Source organism: Homo sapiens, chromosome 20 (genome assembly GCF_000001405.40).
Source record: "Homo sapiens chromosome 20, GRCh38.p14 Primary Assembly".
NCBI classification, from domain to species: Eukaryota; Metazoa; Chordata; class Mammalia; order Primates; family Hominidae; genus Homo; species Homo sapiens.
Genome location: NC_000020.11, coordinates 48,066,781 through 48,083,913, shown reverse-complemented (window position 1 = coordinate 48,083,913; position 17,133 = coordinate 48,066,781). Strand labels below are relative to the sequence as shown.

General features: G+C 43.7%; 1 annotated feature.

The window, feature by feature from the left end:
- Nucleotides 7,482-7,667: a silencer, noted in NCBI's record as "fragment chr20:46704990-46705175 (GRCh37/hg19 assembly coordinates)". NCBI's record gives its function as "represses an EF-1alpha promoter that drives an FKBP-Casp9 reporter gene in an ReSE screen in K562 erythroleukemia cells {active_cell/tissue: K562}" and the evidence as "EXISTENCE:reporter gene assay evidence [ECO:0000049][PMID:32094911]".

Here is a 17,133-nt window from a genome sequence, read left to right as displayed (position 1 = left end):
GATTTTCTCCCAGTAACAAACTTGACCTTTTATTCTATTAACAGAGTCTTGCACAGAACAAAAGTTCTTAATTTTTATGACAAATATATTAATTCTATCAATTTTTTAATGGATTGTGCTTTTGGTATCACATCTAAAAGCCATTTTCCTAACTGCAGATCCCAAAGATTCTTCCTGTTTGCTTAGGATCTATGTTTCCATTTGCTCCATTAGTGTTCATAATTGCTTATTGGAGGATTTTTATAATAGCTGCTTTAAAGTCCTTGTCAGAAAATCTCTATATTTGTGTTATTTCATTATTGGGGTCTCTTCGTGGTCTTTTCCCATGAATACTGAGATTTTCCTGGTTCTTAATAAGCAAGGAATTTTGGATTTTATCCTGGACATTTTATATATTATGTTATGAGACTCTGAGTCTTGTTCAAATATTGCCCATCAATATCATAAGGTTGCTTAAGAGCTTGTGTCTGGAGTTGGTTCCTTCCAGTGGGTTCATGGTCTCACTGACTTCAAGAATGAAGCCGCGGACCTTCGCGGTGAGTGTTACAGCTCTTAAAGGTGGCCCGGACCCAAGAGTGACCAGCAGCAAGATTTATTGTGAAGAGCAAAACAACAAAGCTTCCACAATGTGGAAGGGGACCCCAGCGGGTTGCCGCTGCTGGCTGGGGTGGCCAGCTTTTATTCCCTTATTTGTCCCCGCCCATGTCCTGCTGATTGATCCATTTTACAGAGTGCTGATTGGTGCGTTTACAATCCTCTAGCTAGACACAGAGCGCTGATTGGTGCGTTTACAATCCTCTAGCTAGACAGAAAAGTTCTCCAAGTCCCCACTCCACAGAGGAAGTCCAACTGGCTTCACCTCTCACTTGGGCATGAGGGAATGGAGAAAAGAAAAAAACAGTGGAGATGTCCACACCCTGAGTGTTAAAAGTTCCCTGAACCAGAACTAGAGGGCATCCCTGAAATGCCCCTGGAGCTCTGTCTTTGCCCCATTGCTCACTTCTGAGTTTCAGGATCAGGTCCGGTGATACCAAAGGGCAAAACATGGCAAATTCACCACCAGTGCATATGGTTTGGTTCTGTGTCCCCACCATCTCATGTTGAATTGTAATCCCCAGTGTTGGAGGTGGGGCCCAATGGGAGGATTGGATCATGCTGGTGGTCCTTCATGAATGGTTTAGCACCATCATCTCGATGCTGTTCTCGTGATAATAAGTTCGTGAGTTCTCATGAGATCTGGTTGTTTAAAAGTGTGCAGCACCTTCCCCCTCTCTCTCTTCCTCCTGCTCCTGCCATGTAAGATGTGCCCACTTCCCCCTCACCTTCCTCCATGAGCAAAAGCTCCCTGAGGCCTCCCCAGAAGCAGATGCTACCATGCTTCCTGTACAGCCTGCAGAACCATGAGCCAATTCTTTCATTGATAAATTACTCAGTCTCAGGTATTTCTTTACAGCAGTGTGACAATGGACCAATACAACCAGTTTAGTGACACTTCACATTCTGATCTTCTGTGATCCACCTACAACTATTTACTTTTCAGAGCCCTCGGATTACTGCTGTCTTTCCAGGTTCTAGATCTTCATTCAGTGGGAGAAACATGGTAGAGTGTATATATAACATCTTACCTCAACCAGAATCTGTAAATATCAGTTTTTGATTAAAAAAAATTTTTTTTGAGTTGGGGTCTCATCTGTTGCACAGGCTGGAAAGCAGTGACACAATCACAGCTCATTGCAATCTGAAACTCCTGGGCTCATGCAATCCTCTTGCCTCAACCTCCCAAGTAGCTGGGACTACCAGCGTGCACCACAAGGCTCAGGTAAGTTTTTCTATTATTTTGTAGAGACAGAGTCTCACTATATTGGCCAGGCTAATCTCAAACTCCTGGCCTCAAGTGGTCTTCCCACCTTGGCCTTCCAAAGTGCTGAAATTACAAGCATGAGCCAATGCACCCAGCCAGTTTTATAGAATAATGATTCATTCGTTTATTTAATATGTTTATTACAATTATCCCTGCGTCACAACCCCACGTATGTTTGCCACCTCTACCTCTGGGATGTGAGCTTCTCCAGTTCACCTCCCTGGTTTCATTCATCCTGAGTCTATCCCAGGACTAAGCTTAGGATGAGACTTAGAATAAACCCTTATAATAGTACTTAACATTAGTATGTAGCAAAAGTCAGAAAATCTAACTCAAACTTGTTTAAACATTTTTTTCTTTGCACTCATAACAGAGAAGTCCAGAGGTAGCAGGCTTCATGACAAGTCGAATCCAGCATTGTACATGTTTTAATTTCTCTCCTTCATCTGTTTTCTGCAACATTGGCTTCATCTGTGGACTTCAACTTTGAACAATTCTGAGTTCTCATCTGTGGCAATAAAATGGCTCCTGGATGTCTAGAATGCAGATCCTCACACCACAGAAACTAGGGGAAGGAGAAGGGTCTCTTACTGTATCTACTGCATAAGTCTTGAAATTTTTACCATTTCTATAGCCTTAATTGGGTTTTGTGTTTATCCCTAAACCAATCATCAAAGCCAAAATAATAGAATATGCTAATTGGTTTAAGCTAATCTAAACTGTCATATAGAGCTGAGTGTGGTAGGAGTCCCACTCAAAACACATGTCTGAGAATATAGGAAGGTTACATTTTCCAAAAGAAAATCAGACAATAAACAATGAGAGAAAGAATAGATGGATGTTATGGAGTAAATAATGTAGATTAATTTTGAATGTCAACATCAAAAATATTAACTCATCCTGGCTTAATTATTTTAAATAATCTATTGGTTCAGATAAACAATAAGTTCAGAAATTTGGATATCAGGAGCGGCTTGATCAAGTTCCCTCTCCAATTTATCTTTTATACTCTGTATTGGGCCCTTCTCCTCATCCTCAGCCTGGCCTTCCAAAATGACCCAGCAGTTCTGGTATCCAGATAACCGTGCCTTTCACATTCAGAAGGAGATTTCCAAAGAAAATATGAGTTTTTCACTGATTGGGCCACCTTGTGGGAGAGTATTATATATTAATTGGATTAAGCCTGGTTTCACTGAATGAATCATTGGTTCATTAAAGTAGGATTACTCTAGTTAGCTTAGACCAATCCGGGTGTACTGCTGTAGTTGGGGGTCAGGTCAGTTCCCCTCTGAGTCATGGGCTACCTGGAAGACAGATGATATCCACAGAGAGTATTACAAGGAAGGGACATGGGTGATTAGATACTGGGTAGGCACATAAACACAGAAAAACTGCCAAAACTACCAGATATAGCTACCAAATCTTTCCAAAGCAGATAATAAATCTTGTTAATTTTGAAATTCCAGAATGTTCTGTGTGTGGCACTTAGTAGGCACTCCATCAATTTTTGATGACTGAATTAATGACTTAAAACAACCAGGCTCTAAAGAATAAAATTCTAATCACACTTAAAAATAGGATTCACAGTTCTAGGACTAATTCCAGTTGTAGGCACTATCACTGACAGACATACTTTGCTATAGCTGTGTCTATGAAGAATTGTCAAAATATTTTGAAATTAGATAATAATTTGATATCTATTAAGATTCTATCTTCAAAAGTCTTTTTTCAGTGAATACAGAGCATTGAGGACAGAGCAAACTAATGTAAAAACGTTTATTTTATGTCATCTTATCTTGGCTTCCAGGCTAGGGGCTGCCATAAATCGACACTTGTCACAGAACTCAAAACGTGGATGGTTCTTAGGAAGGAAGATGACGATCATTTATAACACCATGCCCGATAGGTGATTTTGATATCAAAGGCTATAGAATTCTAAGGAGGGTAAAAACTCTTCAGAATTCTTGGTCAAGGTGAGATTTGAACAGAGTACTGAGGATCAGTAAGATCATCCTAAAAGTCAGGGCTGGTGTCAGGTGTTAGATGAGATGAGGTGTTAGGTCCAAAGCAAAGGCTTAGAATCCAGAAAAGGCAAGGTGTATGGTACCCAAGACCACTCACAGGACTAAGGACTGACTGTGAGGATTCACAACCCTCAGCATGTTGTCATCCTCTTGACTATGATGTATTGCAGAAAAAAGCAAAATCAACAAAGAAAAATGGTGCATGGGTGAAGTCTGGGAGAAGTCAGGCCCAAGCTTCCAAGGGTCTCTGCCATTGAAGTCACACAAGATGTGCTAAATTCCCCCAGCAGTGAGGTGTGGCAATGCCTGGGAAGTGTCATCTACCAGGGAAGATGATTAGAGACTTGGTGCCTGGGATTTTTATTCAGGGCTGGTTATGGGGCAGCCTTGGCCTGGCATGTACCAAAATTCCAGACTCCCAGAAGAAAAACATGTTCGCCAGGGACCATGCTGTTTTGTGTAAACAGTTTAGGCACAGCGAGATGTCTCAAATGTCACATGCTGCCTTGACATCTTTGAGCCTCACAGAAACCCAAAAGCCTAACCATGAGTTCTCCTGCCCTCACCAGATATGTCACCCACCCAAAAGGAAAGAGTCTCTACCTGGCCAGTTCCCCTACCGGCTACACCAGCTGTACCACATCTGGTCCTCAACCTCATGGATGCACCTCTCTGCCAACCCACAGATTATTGAAACAAGCCAACTGCATCCTCCTGCAGGGACCAGGGGCACCTCAACCTCTTGTTGCCACAAAGCCTGCCATCCACAGCCTTGGCTGGTTTTCTCTGCCCCCCAGCACAACCCTGCATGGCCCTGCACGGCGTGTGATGCCCTCCTCCCCCAGGGTGTTAGTAGACGTGACTGATGAGCTGCTGCCAAGGTCATCTGTCCAGTGTTGGGCATCGTGTGTTCAGCCATCTCATATGCTTTAGGATGGGACATCCCTCCCTAACCAGTGGGATAAATAAGAGGTAATTGAAACAAGCACTGTGGTTGCCACTTGGATGCAGGATGTTCCTAGGAGCCCACTTCATCACATGGGGTGGGTAATAGATGGGAGGACTCATTTGTTTATTTCAGGACAAAGGCCAGGGGTTGAGGGTCGCAGTGGTCAAAGTTCTTTCGTGTCCATAGCACAGAGTGGTGGGAGGAGTCATAAAAAATCTATTTTTTATGTTTGACTGTTGGGGGGAGGGAGGCGCCCTGATGGGGTGACAGCCTCCCCAGCTGTTCTCTTGTCCCACCCTGGGAATGTCATGTCTGTGGTCCTGGAGCCCCAGCAGGTGGTCCTGCCCAGCCCTGCTGGTGAATCTAGCCATGTCGTTGTCAAATCGCCCTTCGCTTTGAACCGCTTTAGTTGCCTTCAGCTACAAACTCTCAGTTGTAAAGATTTACTCTGAAGACACTGGGGTGTCCCTTGTTACATTTTTAATTAACAGACCTTGGACTTCATGCAAGCAGTTTAGTCCTGAGACGGCAACAAGGCGCAGAATGAACACAGAGCATGCTGCTCTCCTGGGTGACTCCAGTAAGTAAACACTGTGTTCCTCAACAGGCCAGGCATGGTCTTGCCTCGGGGTCTTTGTGCAGCTATGCCTTTTGCCTGGAGCACCTTTTACTCTCTTATAAGCTTGGCTTGCTCCCTCCTTTCCTTCGGGTCTGTGTTTGGCTGTCACATCCTCAGAGTGGCCTTCCCCAAACACCTTTAACAAAGGAACCCCCCAGCTACTCTACTTAGCTTTCCCCCACAGAGCTCATGGTCACCAGATAGATTGTGTGTCATTCCTGATCTCTGTTCTTCCACACATCCTCAAGAACAGGAAATTCATTTTTTCACTGCTGTATTCCCAGCACTTGCTACATAACGGAAGCTCAGCAAACATAGTCTGAAGAAAGGATGAGGCCACGGTGTCTGAGCCAAAGCCCCCTGTTTTCAGAGACTAGGAATGGGGGCTTAAAAACAATCCTCCAGGGAAGTGGCATTTGGAGCAAAGAGAAGGACATGGGACTGAGATTTGAGAGATGTGAGTGCGGCTCCTGCTCTTTCCCTGGGCCAAGAATTGGGTGAATTGTTGTTATCCTCTATGATGGTTAAGGTTAAGTGTCAACTTGATTGGATTGAAGGATGCAAAGTATTGTTCCTGAGTGCGTCTGTGAAGGTGTTGCCAAAGGAGATTAACATTTGAGTTAGTAAACTAGGAGAGGCAGATCCACCCTCAGTCTGGGTGGGCACCATTGAATCAGCTGCCAGCTCGGCTAGAATAAAACCAGGCAGAGGAACGTGGAAGGACTAGACTGGCTGAGCCTTCTGGCCCCATTTTTCTCCTGGGCTGTATGCTTCCTGCCCTTGAACATCAGACTCCAAATTCTTCAGCTTTGGGACTCTTGCATCTTCGACCACAGACTGAAGGCTGCACTGTTGGCTTCCCAACTTTTGAGGTTTTGGGACTCGGACTGGCTTCCTGGCTCCTCAGCTTGCAGATGGCCTACTGTGGGATCTCACCTTGTTATCGTGTGAATCAACACTCCTTAATAAACTCCCCTTTATATATACATCTATCCTATTAGTTCTGTCCCTCTAGAGAACCCTGACTCATACAGATTTTGGTAGCAGGAGTAATTCTAGAGGAACAGAGTATTAAGGATGGAGTTCTTTTGTTGATTTGGGGGTTTCTGGAGTTGGCTGCTTAATATGATTAGACTCAAAAATGCTAAGGGCTCTACTTCTAATAGCATGGAGAACACCGATAGTTCTTGCAAAATAAATGCATTTGATACTCCTGATTCACTGCTCATGAGAGGCAGGAGCTTAATGACTCTATACCTGATATCTTTGACCCTACGTGGAGAACCAAGGAATATAATGAAGTTGGTTGGTTGCTCCTAAGTTCACTGGACAAAGTGATGAAAGAAAAAGAGCCTCATTTTCTTTATCTGAAAACAGAAACAAGGTCGACCAGCATGTGGCTGAGCCAATGAACCCAGGCAAGATGTGAAGAGACCTGCCCCTCCGGGAGCTGACGAACATCGCCTTGTGCCTGCCTCCTCCTTGACAGCCCCTGATTTAATGCAGAGATGGAGGCAGGGGAGCATCTGAGTCTGTTCGGGTAGCAGCAAGACTCCTTCCCGCCCACACCAACCCCAGCTAGCCTCAGAGAAGGCTACACAGCCTTGCAGAGGAGAAGGGGCTGTGAAATCTGCTGGATTCATTCCTTTCAAAGCACTTTACCAATGTGCACACACAGGCCCTCCATTCTCTCAGGAAGATCAAAAAGCAGCCCAGATAAGCTGAGATGGATGAGTCTCTCTAGAACAGTGCACGATACCTAGGGTGATCAATAAAGTGTTTGTAGAATAAGCAAGTGAATTAATAAATATGTGAATGAATGAAACCATTTTTTTGAAAATGACTTCCGTTGAGTTCCACAGAGCAGAATTTGAAAACTCAGTGATTTGTCAGTTGTTGCCAACCCATCTCCGTGGTTCAAAATAAGCACTAATTCTCACACGCGCAGATTCACAGGTGACTCATGGCTCTGCGACCCGGGCTCTGCGACATGGGCTCTGCTGGATAGGGTGCAGGCTGTGGATTGGGCTCAGATCTGCTCCACACGTGTGCGCACTGGACCGAGTATCAAGGGACAGTAGCTCCTGTTATAAAGAGAGCACACGCTCATCACAGCAGATCCCCAGGAGCAAGAGTGAGCCAAGCTGCACATTTAATCCCTTTGCTCTCATCACTTCTGCTGACTTCCAAATGGTCAAAGCAAGTCACACAGCCAAACATCAGCAGGGTGGGAAGTGTTCTCCACCTGCAGTGTGAAGGGGAGAGAGTGAATATTTGCTTAATGATAATCTAAACTGTCACAAAAACCCTGGCCCTAGAGAGTGGCTCGACCAGCTTTAATGTTGTGATGGGTCACAATCTAAGAGGCTCTGAGATTGCTATTGTTTAAAATTAATTAATAAATGAAAATAAATGCCAGAATCTGACATGCCCTGAGGGATGAGTCACAGTGACAGCTAGTGCAGGCGCACCCCACAGCCATCTGCCAGGAACTTCAAGTCTCAGAGGCACCAAGTATGTTGGGCAATTGACCTTGGGGGTTCTGGCCAACTCAGGGATGGGAGATTTGAGATCGTCACTTGCCTCCTGCAGGTGGATGCAGCACACGCTTTAATAACTCCAAATTCAACTTTAAACTGCAGCTGCTGTCATCGCCTGGGGACCCTTATCTTTTTACATGTTATCGTAGATCAGTTGCCCGCTGCTGCAATAAAGAACTCTCAATGGGTTGCCTGGAATTTCTAACTCAGTGCTCAAAAAAAACCTGGTGGATAAACCAGATGGGCTTTTGTTCAATGGTGATTGGTGCTAGACTCAAGCAGGCAATCATGGGGTCTTGGCTTCTTGGAGGCAGCCCCCACTGCACCCATGAGCTCAAGGGAGGAATTTGCTTCCCCTGCAGATGAGGGCAGTGGTGGTGTGGCCGGGTAGTAGCAGGGATGGAAGGTGCTGGACAAACACCATGCTGTATAGCTTTCACCTGTATCATCTGGCATTTGTGAAAAGGCATTTGCCAGCTTTCTTTAATGCTTGTTTGGTTCCCAACCATGTCCTTACCACTATAGAGTGAAGGGAACAGGGTGGTTGGTCAGGCATTAGATCAGCCATCATCTCATAATCAAAAAATCAAAAAATGATAGATGGCATGGATGTGGTGAAAAGGGAACAATTCTACACTGCTAGTGGGAATGTAAACTAGTGCAACCACCATGGAAAATGGTGGCAGGGAGGGCGGGGCGCAGATTCCCTAAAGAACTAAAAGTAGAACTACCATTTGATCCAGCAATCCCACTACCCGGTATCTACCCAGGGGAAAAGATGTCATTATACGAAAAAGATACTTGCTCACGCATGTTTACAGCAGCACTATTCACAATTGCAAAAATGTGGAAGCAACCCAAATGCCCATCAATCAATAAGTGGATAAAGAAACTGTGATATACTGTGATATATATATACGCACACATATATATATATAGCGTGTGTGTATACATATATTTATGTGTATGTATGTATATATACCACTCAGCCATAAAAAGGAATGAATTAATGGCATTTGCAGCAACCTGGATGGGACTGCAGACTATTATTCTAAGTGAAGTAACTCAGGAATGGAAAACCAAACATTGTATGTTCTCACTCGTAAGTGGGAGCTAAGCTACGAGAATGCAAAAGCATAAGAATGACACAATGGACTTTGGGGACTCAGGGAGAAAGAGTGCGAAGGGAGTAAGGGATCAAAGACTATAAATTGGGTTCAGTGTATACTGCTAGCGAGATGGGTGCACCAAAATCTCACAAATCCCCACCAAAGAACTTACTCACAGATCGGCCATCATCAGATTGGAGTACTCACACCTCTGGGGATACATGACAATTTTTTAAGGGTTCACAGGCATAGACAGTTTTAAGATCATCAATTTCCAGACCCCCTACCTACATGTATCCTATTTTTCAATTCCTCCTTCACAAATGCCCTCTTTCATTATATTAAAAGTGGGAGTTGAACAATGAGAACACATGGAGACAGGGAAGGGAACATCACACACTGGGGCCTGTTGTGGGGGTGGGGGATAGGGGAGGGACAGCATTAAGAGAAATACCAGATGTAGATGATGGCTTGATGGGTGCAGTAAACCACCATGGCACGTGTATACCTATGTAACAAACCAGCACGTTCTGCACATGTACCCCAGAACTTAAAGTATAATTTAAAAAATGGGTTTATCAGTCAGGATACTAACACAAAACAGAAAGCACACTCAAATTGGGTAATTCGAAGAAAGTTTAATACAGGAAATGTTTATAAAGGTGTGGGTGAAGTAAAGAAAGCCACAAAGGATAGTGCAGCTCTCTAGGGTTAGTGGGGCCCTGTGCAGAGTTAGAGAAGAAAGAGGTTTCCAGAATCTGGAGACAGGAGAGGCTGTGTAGAATGTGAAGGAGCTGTGACCTTCCTGAGAGAGATGCAGCCACCCTGGGTCATCCCACAGATGGAGCCCAACTTTATTCTTCCCTGCCCTGACCTCCAACCACTGGCAGGGAACATAACTTGGAAGCAGCAGAGAAGGGAGCCCATTGCTGTGGTCCATGCAACCAGCCTCCCAGGACAGAAGGAGGATGGGGAAGGGTGGATGGTGGAAGACGTCCTCACACAAAAGCCATCACCCAGCTTGCGTCTTACAAAGGCGTTTTCCCCTCCTGGGAAAAGTCCTTCAGGGCATCAGGCAAAGACACATTTTGAAATATTAGCCTGAGCATTGAGAACACAAACATCTCTGACAACTGGGTACCCCATCTGGGTGTATAACTGGAACCACATCCCTTTACAGTCAAATTGTTTTCAATTCTTCACTTTCACTGAAATTGAAGAGGAACCTAATAGGGATGTCAGCTCATAGATTATCAAAAATATTTTTATGATAAATCATTGTGTGATTTTTGGCACATAACCTGGAAGGAGTCCAAACAAGTGCGTGGCTTCCAACAGAAGGCCCCCCTTTCCCATCTGCTTGTTTATGTGAACGAATGCTCAGTGCTTACACCAATAAAAACAAAACGGTGTGAATAAAATTGATGATGAAACTGCCTCCTTAAAATAACAAGTAATATTCATGAATACATTAATGGAAAAAAAAATCCCACCTATCATACTAAGAGAAGAATAGCCAAATAATTTTACTTTTTTCAGATTAATAATTCTTTATCCTGAGCTCTGCCATACTTATGCTGCTTTGATCAATTGTGTTCTGCGAACAACCAGAATGATCATCCATAATGATAAGTTTAAAAAAAAACTTATTTTAAAATGTAAAGACTTATAGTCAGAGACATTTTTTAAATTTAAATGTAAATGTATGAGCATATTTTTGTTGCAGTCAGTGATATGTGATAGAGTAATCAATAAAAAAAACTTCCAAGAATAAAACTATGATACATTATGATCAAATTCTTCTAGGGGTGTACAAGTTCAAGGGGAATAAAGAACAATGAAAAGTTCCTAACCATGAGAAGCTCCTGTATGTATTTTTTTAAAAATCAATTATGACAGGTATCAAATCACAATCGTATTGAGCCTCAGTTGGACATACTTTAAGTTATATTACGGTTTTCTCTTAAAATATCCAGTATTTACAATATGCTGAAAATTTTACCCATTTATTTATTTATTTTACACAAGTAAATATCTTAAAAATATAAAATATATATGTAATTTATAAATATATAATTACATCCAAATATAAATTTAAACTTATAAAAAATTTAGCTGGTAGCTTAGGAATGCAGGAATATAGACATGATTTTTCAAGTTGAAAGAGATGCTAGATGTGTCTGCAGAAGTCAACAGGGTCAGATCTGTTTTTTGAAGGGCCTTGTTTGCCCATTACATGCTGGGAAAACAAGGAATGAAATAAGGTAACATTCACAGAGGATGTCAAAGGATGTCTACTTCAAGTGCCCAATGACAAGGTAATAATGTGCTGTCGGAGAAGGAAAAGATTGCTGTGGACGAAGGTGATCACAATGGGAGGCAGAGGGCCACTGAGGTTAACCCAGGACTTGGAGGAGTGTTGAATCGATCTAGTCTTGGAGAAAAAGTTGCCAGGGAAGTGGAGAAAAATAGAAGTGACTTAAGGATCCTGGAGTCCCTTCATTGGCAAGCAGATCAGCTGGTTGACACTCAGTTATTCTCAATTGTGATAACAGTAGTAATATTACTATTCGATATTTATTGAACACTGTTTTTAGGCATTGGCCTGAGACATCTTGATATACAGATATAGGCTCTGAGATTCTAGCACCCATCCTTGGCCACTACTCCACGCTACTTCTCTTGTGTTTCCTGGGCTGTTGTTCATGCAGTCAGTCTTTCTTTTCTTTCTTTCTTTCTTTCTTTCTTTCTTTCTTTCTTTCTTTCTTTCTTTCTTTCTTTCTTTCTTCTTTCGTTCTTTCTTTCTTTTCTTTCTTTCTTTTCTTTCTCTCTCTCTCTCTCTCTTTCTTTCTTTCTCTCTCTCTCTTTCTTTTTCTTTCTTCTCTCTCTCTCTCTCTTTCTTGATGGAGTCTCACTCTATCACCCAGGCTGGAGTGCACTGGTGCATCTTGGCTCACTGCAACCTCTGCCTCCCGAGTTCAAGCAGTTCTCCTGTCTCAGCCTCCAGAGTAGCTGGGATTACAGGTGCGCACCACCACACCCGGCTAATTTTTGTATTTTTAGTAGAGACAGGGTTTCACCATGTTGGCCAGGCTGGTCTCAAACTCCTGGCCTCAAGTGATCTGCCTGCCTCAGCCTCTCAAAGTGCTGTGATTCTAGGCATGAGCCACCCTGCCCGGCCCCTTTTTTATTTCTTTTAGCAAATAATTGTTGCGTGTTGACATGGGCCAGGCAGTTGGATATATTTATTCATCTTAACTGTTGGTAAGTTCTCATCTGCACTGATTTCCCTGCAAAAGCCTCGTTCTTGGCATGGTTTGATTGGGAAGGAGTGGCAACTCCCTTCTCCCAGCCTTGGAAGGGAGCCATGGTCTCTCTGCTCCCAGGTCCAACCCATCCTGGCTAGTTCTTTGAGTGTCCACTGCAGAGGAGACAAAACTCCACTTTCAACCTCTTAGGGTTCCAGCTGGGCTCTAGAATGAAATCGACCTAAAATAGATTAAGAGGAGAAAAGCATACAAATTTATTTAGTACAAGTTTTATGTGGCATGGGAGCCATCTTAAGGAAATGAAGACCCAAAGAAGCAGAGTCAGTCCCTCAGATAGTGAAATTGGACAGAGAACAGTAAGTTGTGAAAAAGCAGCTCACTCATGTGGGGAGGCTGAAAAGATAAGAGTTGTTTTAACAAGGTCTGTACAGAATTATCTCGGCTAGGACTCCCCATCAAAGAATGTTTCTTTTCTCCTGGCACAAAGAGGGCATCTTTCCCATGGGAATTTTTATCTCCCATCTTCAGGAAGAAAATGTGAGATCAGAATGCTCTTCTTGCATCTGCTGTTTTTCAAGCACCTTTAGTTCACAGTAATCCTCAAGTTGAAGCAGCGTATTTGGGGTGGGTGAGAGAGTTCTCACCCTTCACCACCTTTCTCAAAACCCTGAAACCTCTTCCAGTCTGCACCACACCCTCCTGCTCAAAGTTTATGAAGTTTTCCCCAGGACACCTAATCATATTGGACACAGGAACTACCTATTACACTTCTGAATCTCCCCAAGATTTCTAGCTCAGAGACGCCTTCTGAGATGAGATCTGAGATTTTGTTCAGTTATGAGTTCCCCCCGAAATGGACAGTACCTTAAACAAGATAAAGTGTCCTTCTGTCTTATGTAAAGGAGGACAGCCTAAGGCTAATACAGCGGCCCCCATGCCATCGAGGAGCAAGGCTCCTTCTAGCTTGTTACTCTGCCATGATCAGCAAAGGGTTTCTCACTCATAGCTCAAGGTGACGGCTCCAGATCAGACGCCTGAGTCTGCATTCCAGCTGGCAGACGGACAGAGGGAATGTTCTCACTCCTTAAGATACCTCTCAGAATCTGGACACAACAAATAGGTTTATATTCCCCCAACTAGAACTTCTTAGCCACATCTACCAGCAAGCCTGGATGGAAAATGGAGTTTTGATTCTATATGGCCATATGGCAAATAAAATATCTAATAAAAAAGAAGGAAAACAGATGGCGACGAGGAGCCACCGCAGTCTGCCATAGCATCTCAACACATCCTCTCCACCTTGACTTGACCCATCTCTCCAGCCCAGCCCCATCCTCTGGTTCTATTTCCCCCCCGAGGCTTGGAGATCAGGGCACAGAGCCTCCCTGTCTGTTTGCAGCCCTCCTCCCCATCCCCCAGGAAAATCCTAGCTTAGGAGTTACTAATACCAATACTGAGTATTTCCCAGGCCCTTGTGCTTCTCTGACTTGTAACATTTAGAAATTGTAAGAACATGTTCACAGATGGGCTTTTCCATTAATTTATAATCCAATTTCCATCTTTTGAAGCAAAAATAAAGGTTTTCTTCTCATTTAGTTTGTCAGCTGTCACCAGGAGGTGGGCAGGAAGGGCCCTTACATGTCAGATGCTTGGGTGGTGGCTACACAGCACTCAACAGCTGTTGGAGCATGAAAAGGATGAGCTCGTGACGGTGCAAGGTCTTAACCAGAACATCTGCCAGGATGCTTGCAGAAAAGGAATTTAGTCAATGTCGGTGTTGGGGATCCTCTGGAAGGAACAGTAAATCAGGCTTTTTGGTGTCTCAACAGCCAGGAATAATGCTGTGTGTGTCATCCTATAAAGTACTGACATTTCCACTAAAGACACAGGAATTATGAATTGGAGCAGAAACCCTGAGACATTCCAAATTTAAAAATAATAATAATTTTTAAAAGTAAGCAACTTAGGTGGTGATAATCTGAATTAGCTCCAGTTTTGCTCTTGGACCCCAAAGTGGAAGCATTGATGAGCTCAATGTACTAATAATCTTAAATATTTAGTTGAAGTACCGGCCAGACGCGGTGGCTCACGCCTGTAATCCCAGCGCTTTGGGAGGCCGAGGCAGGGAGATCATCTGAGGTGGGGAGTTTGAGACCAGCCTGGCCAACATGGTGAAACCCTGTCTTTACTAAAAATACAAAATTAGCCAAGTGTGGTGGTGTGTGCCTGTAATCCCAGCTACTTAGGAGGCTGAGTCAGGAGAATTGCTTGAACTCGGGAGGTAGAGGTTGCAGTGAGCCAAGATGATGCCGCTGCCCTCCAGCCTGGGCATCAGAGTGAGACTCCATCTAAAAAAAAAACAACAGTATTTAGTTGAAGTAATAGTATAAACACCCACACTGCACTCAATTGTTGGACCACGGGACATTTATTCTAATCACTTGGTTAGAAAGAAATTTAGACTTTAGAAAGGCCCCACCGGACTATTTATAAGCTAGGAACCAAGAAATAAACAATTATGAACTAGGGGTCAGTTTATTCCTCCAAGTTACCATATACCTTATTTACTCTGAGTTTATCTACATTGTATTCTTCCAAGGAAAACTTCTAATAAAGATTCCTCAGAGCATTTTATTCCTTCTTTTTTCTTTTGTTTTGTGTGGTAAATAAACTATTGATTTTGTTTTCATGGTAATTTAAGGGATAATTCAGCTCCATTTGATAACCACCACCTTAATGTATTCAAAGTAAACAAATCGTAGGGTTTCAATTAGTTATTTTTGCCATCAAAATCGACCACATCATGACAGGCACTGTGGAGATCGCTGTGTGGGCTGTTTGGGCCCTAAGTTATATGTGACATTAATGATCTGGAGACCAATTGCCAAAGGGAAAAAAATTGGTATGAGACGCCAGAGAGACTCACCCAGAGTTGTGTGCTCTTCGAGGGTAAATTAACATTGGATTTCTTAGGAAAAAAGTGAATTGGGATGTGATTTGGGGGAATTCAACAGAATTGATTCTAGTTAGGCCAAAAACATCTTTCGAATGTCTTTGCAGAATGAGCGTATTACCGGTTCACTGCGAGGGAAAGAACAGCAATCTTTAAAGAGGCACACTCTGTCTTTGAGGACAAGGGTCCCCAATCCCTGGGCACAGACAGAGACCAGTCCATGGTCTGTTAGAGGCCAGGCCACACAGCAGGAGGTGAACGGCGGGTGAGGGAGCATTACTGCCTGAGCTCCACCTCCTGTCAGATCAGCAGAGGCATTCAAGCTTGCCCAACCCACGGCCCGGAGCTAGCATGCAGCCCAGGACGGCTTTGAATGCGCCCAACATAAATTTTTTTGTTGTTGTTTATTATACTTTAAGTTTTAGGGTACATGTGCACATTGTGCAGGTTAGTTACATATGTATACATGTGCCATGCTGGTGCGCTGCACCCACTAACTAGTCATCTAGCATTAGGTATATCTCCCAATGCTATCCCTCCCCCGTCCCCCCACCCCACCACAGTCCCCAGAGTGTGATATTCCCCTTCCTGTGATCTCATTGTTCAATTCCCACCTATGAGTGAGAATATGCGGTGTTTGGTTTTTTGTTCTTGCGATAGTTTACTGAGAATGATGATTTCCAATTTCATCCATGTCCCTACAGAGGACATGAACTCATCATTTTTTATGGCTGCATAGTATTCCATGGTGTATATGTGCCACATTTTCTTAATCCAGTCTATTGTTGTTGGACATTTGGGTTGGTTCCAAGTCTTTGCTATTGTGAATAATGCCGCAATAAAATGCAGCCAACACAAATTTGTAAACTTTCTTAAAACGTTATGAGATTTTTGTTTGCAATTTTTTTTTTTTTTTTTTTTTTAGCTCATCGGCTATCATTCGTGTTAGTGTATTCTATGTGTGGCCCAAGACAATTCTTCCAACATGGCCCAGGGAAGCCAAAGGCTGGCCATCCCTGCATTAGATTACCACAGGAGCATTCACCCTGTTGTGAACTGCGTGTTCGAGCGGTCTAGGTTGTGGGTTCCTTATGAGAATCTAACTAGTGCCTGATGATAGGAGGGGGAACAGTTTCATTCTGAAACAATCCCTCCCCACCACCCACCATGCGTTGAAAAATTGTCTTCCATGAAACCAGTCCCTGGTGTGAAAAAGGTTGGGGAAGGCTGTTTTAGAAGACATTAGGTTGTAAGTGACAGAAAACCCATGTCCGACTAGTTTAAACGAAGGAAAGGAATGTATTGCCTCATGCCAAGAAAAGGCCAATGACAAGCTGGCTTTGAGCATATCCAAATCCAGGGACTATGACTCTTTTTCTCTCCATCTCAGCACAACCTTCTTGACATCACCCTGAGGCACATGTGACCCCCACCCAGGGGGCTCTGAAGGTGGAGTCTTACACCTTCCATCCTTCCTCCCCTAGCAAGGCCCAGGGTGAGCTTTGATTGGGTCTGACTGGGTCACATGCCATTCCTGAGCCAATCATTGTGGCCAGAGGGATGTGGCGCCTCATTGGTCAAACCGGAGCCACATGATCATTTCTGGAGCTGTGCTGAGACCAGCAAAGCCATGGTTCCCTGAGCAAGCTCAGAGCATGGCCCCAGAAGTGTGGGGTGAAGGCTGGGCAGGCACAAGACATCTGCCAACCACACGTCCATCCAGACAAACAACTCATCAGCCTCCAGAGTCAACCTGAAGTCATTGCACACCTTAGCCCTGTTGGCCTTTGGGTGCTGGGCCTCATTGCC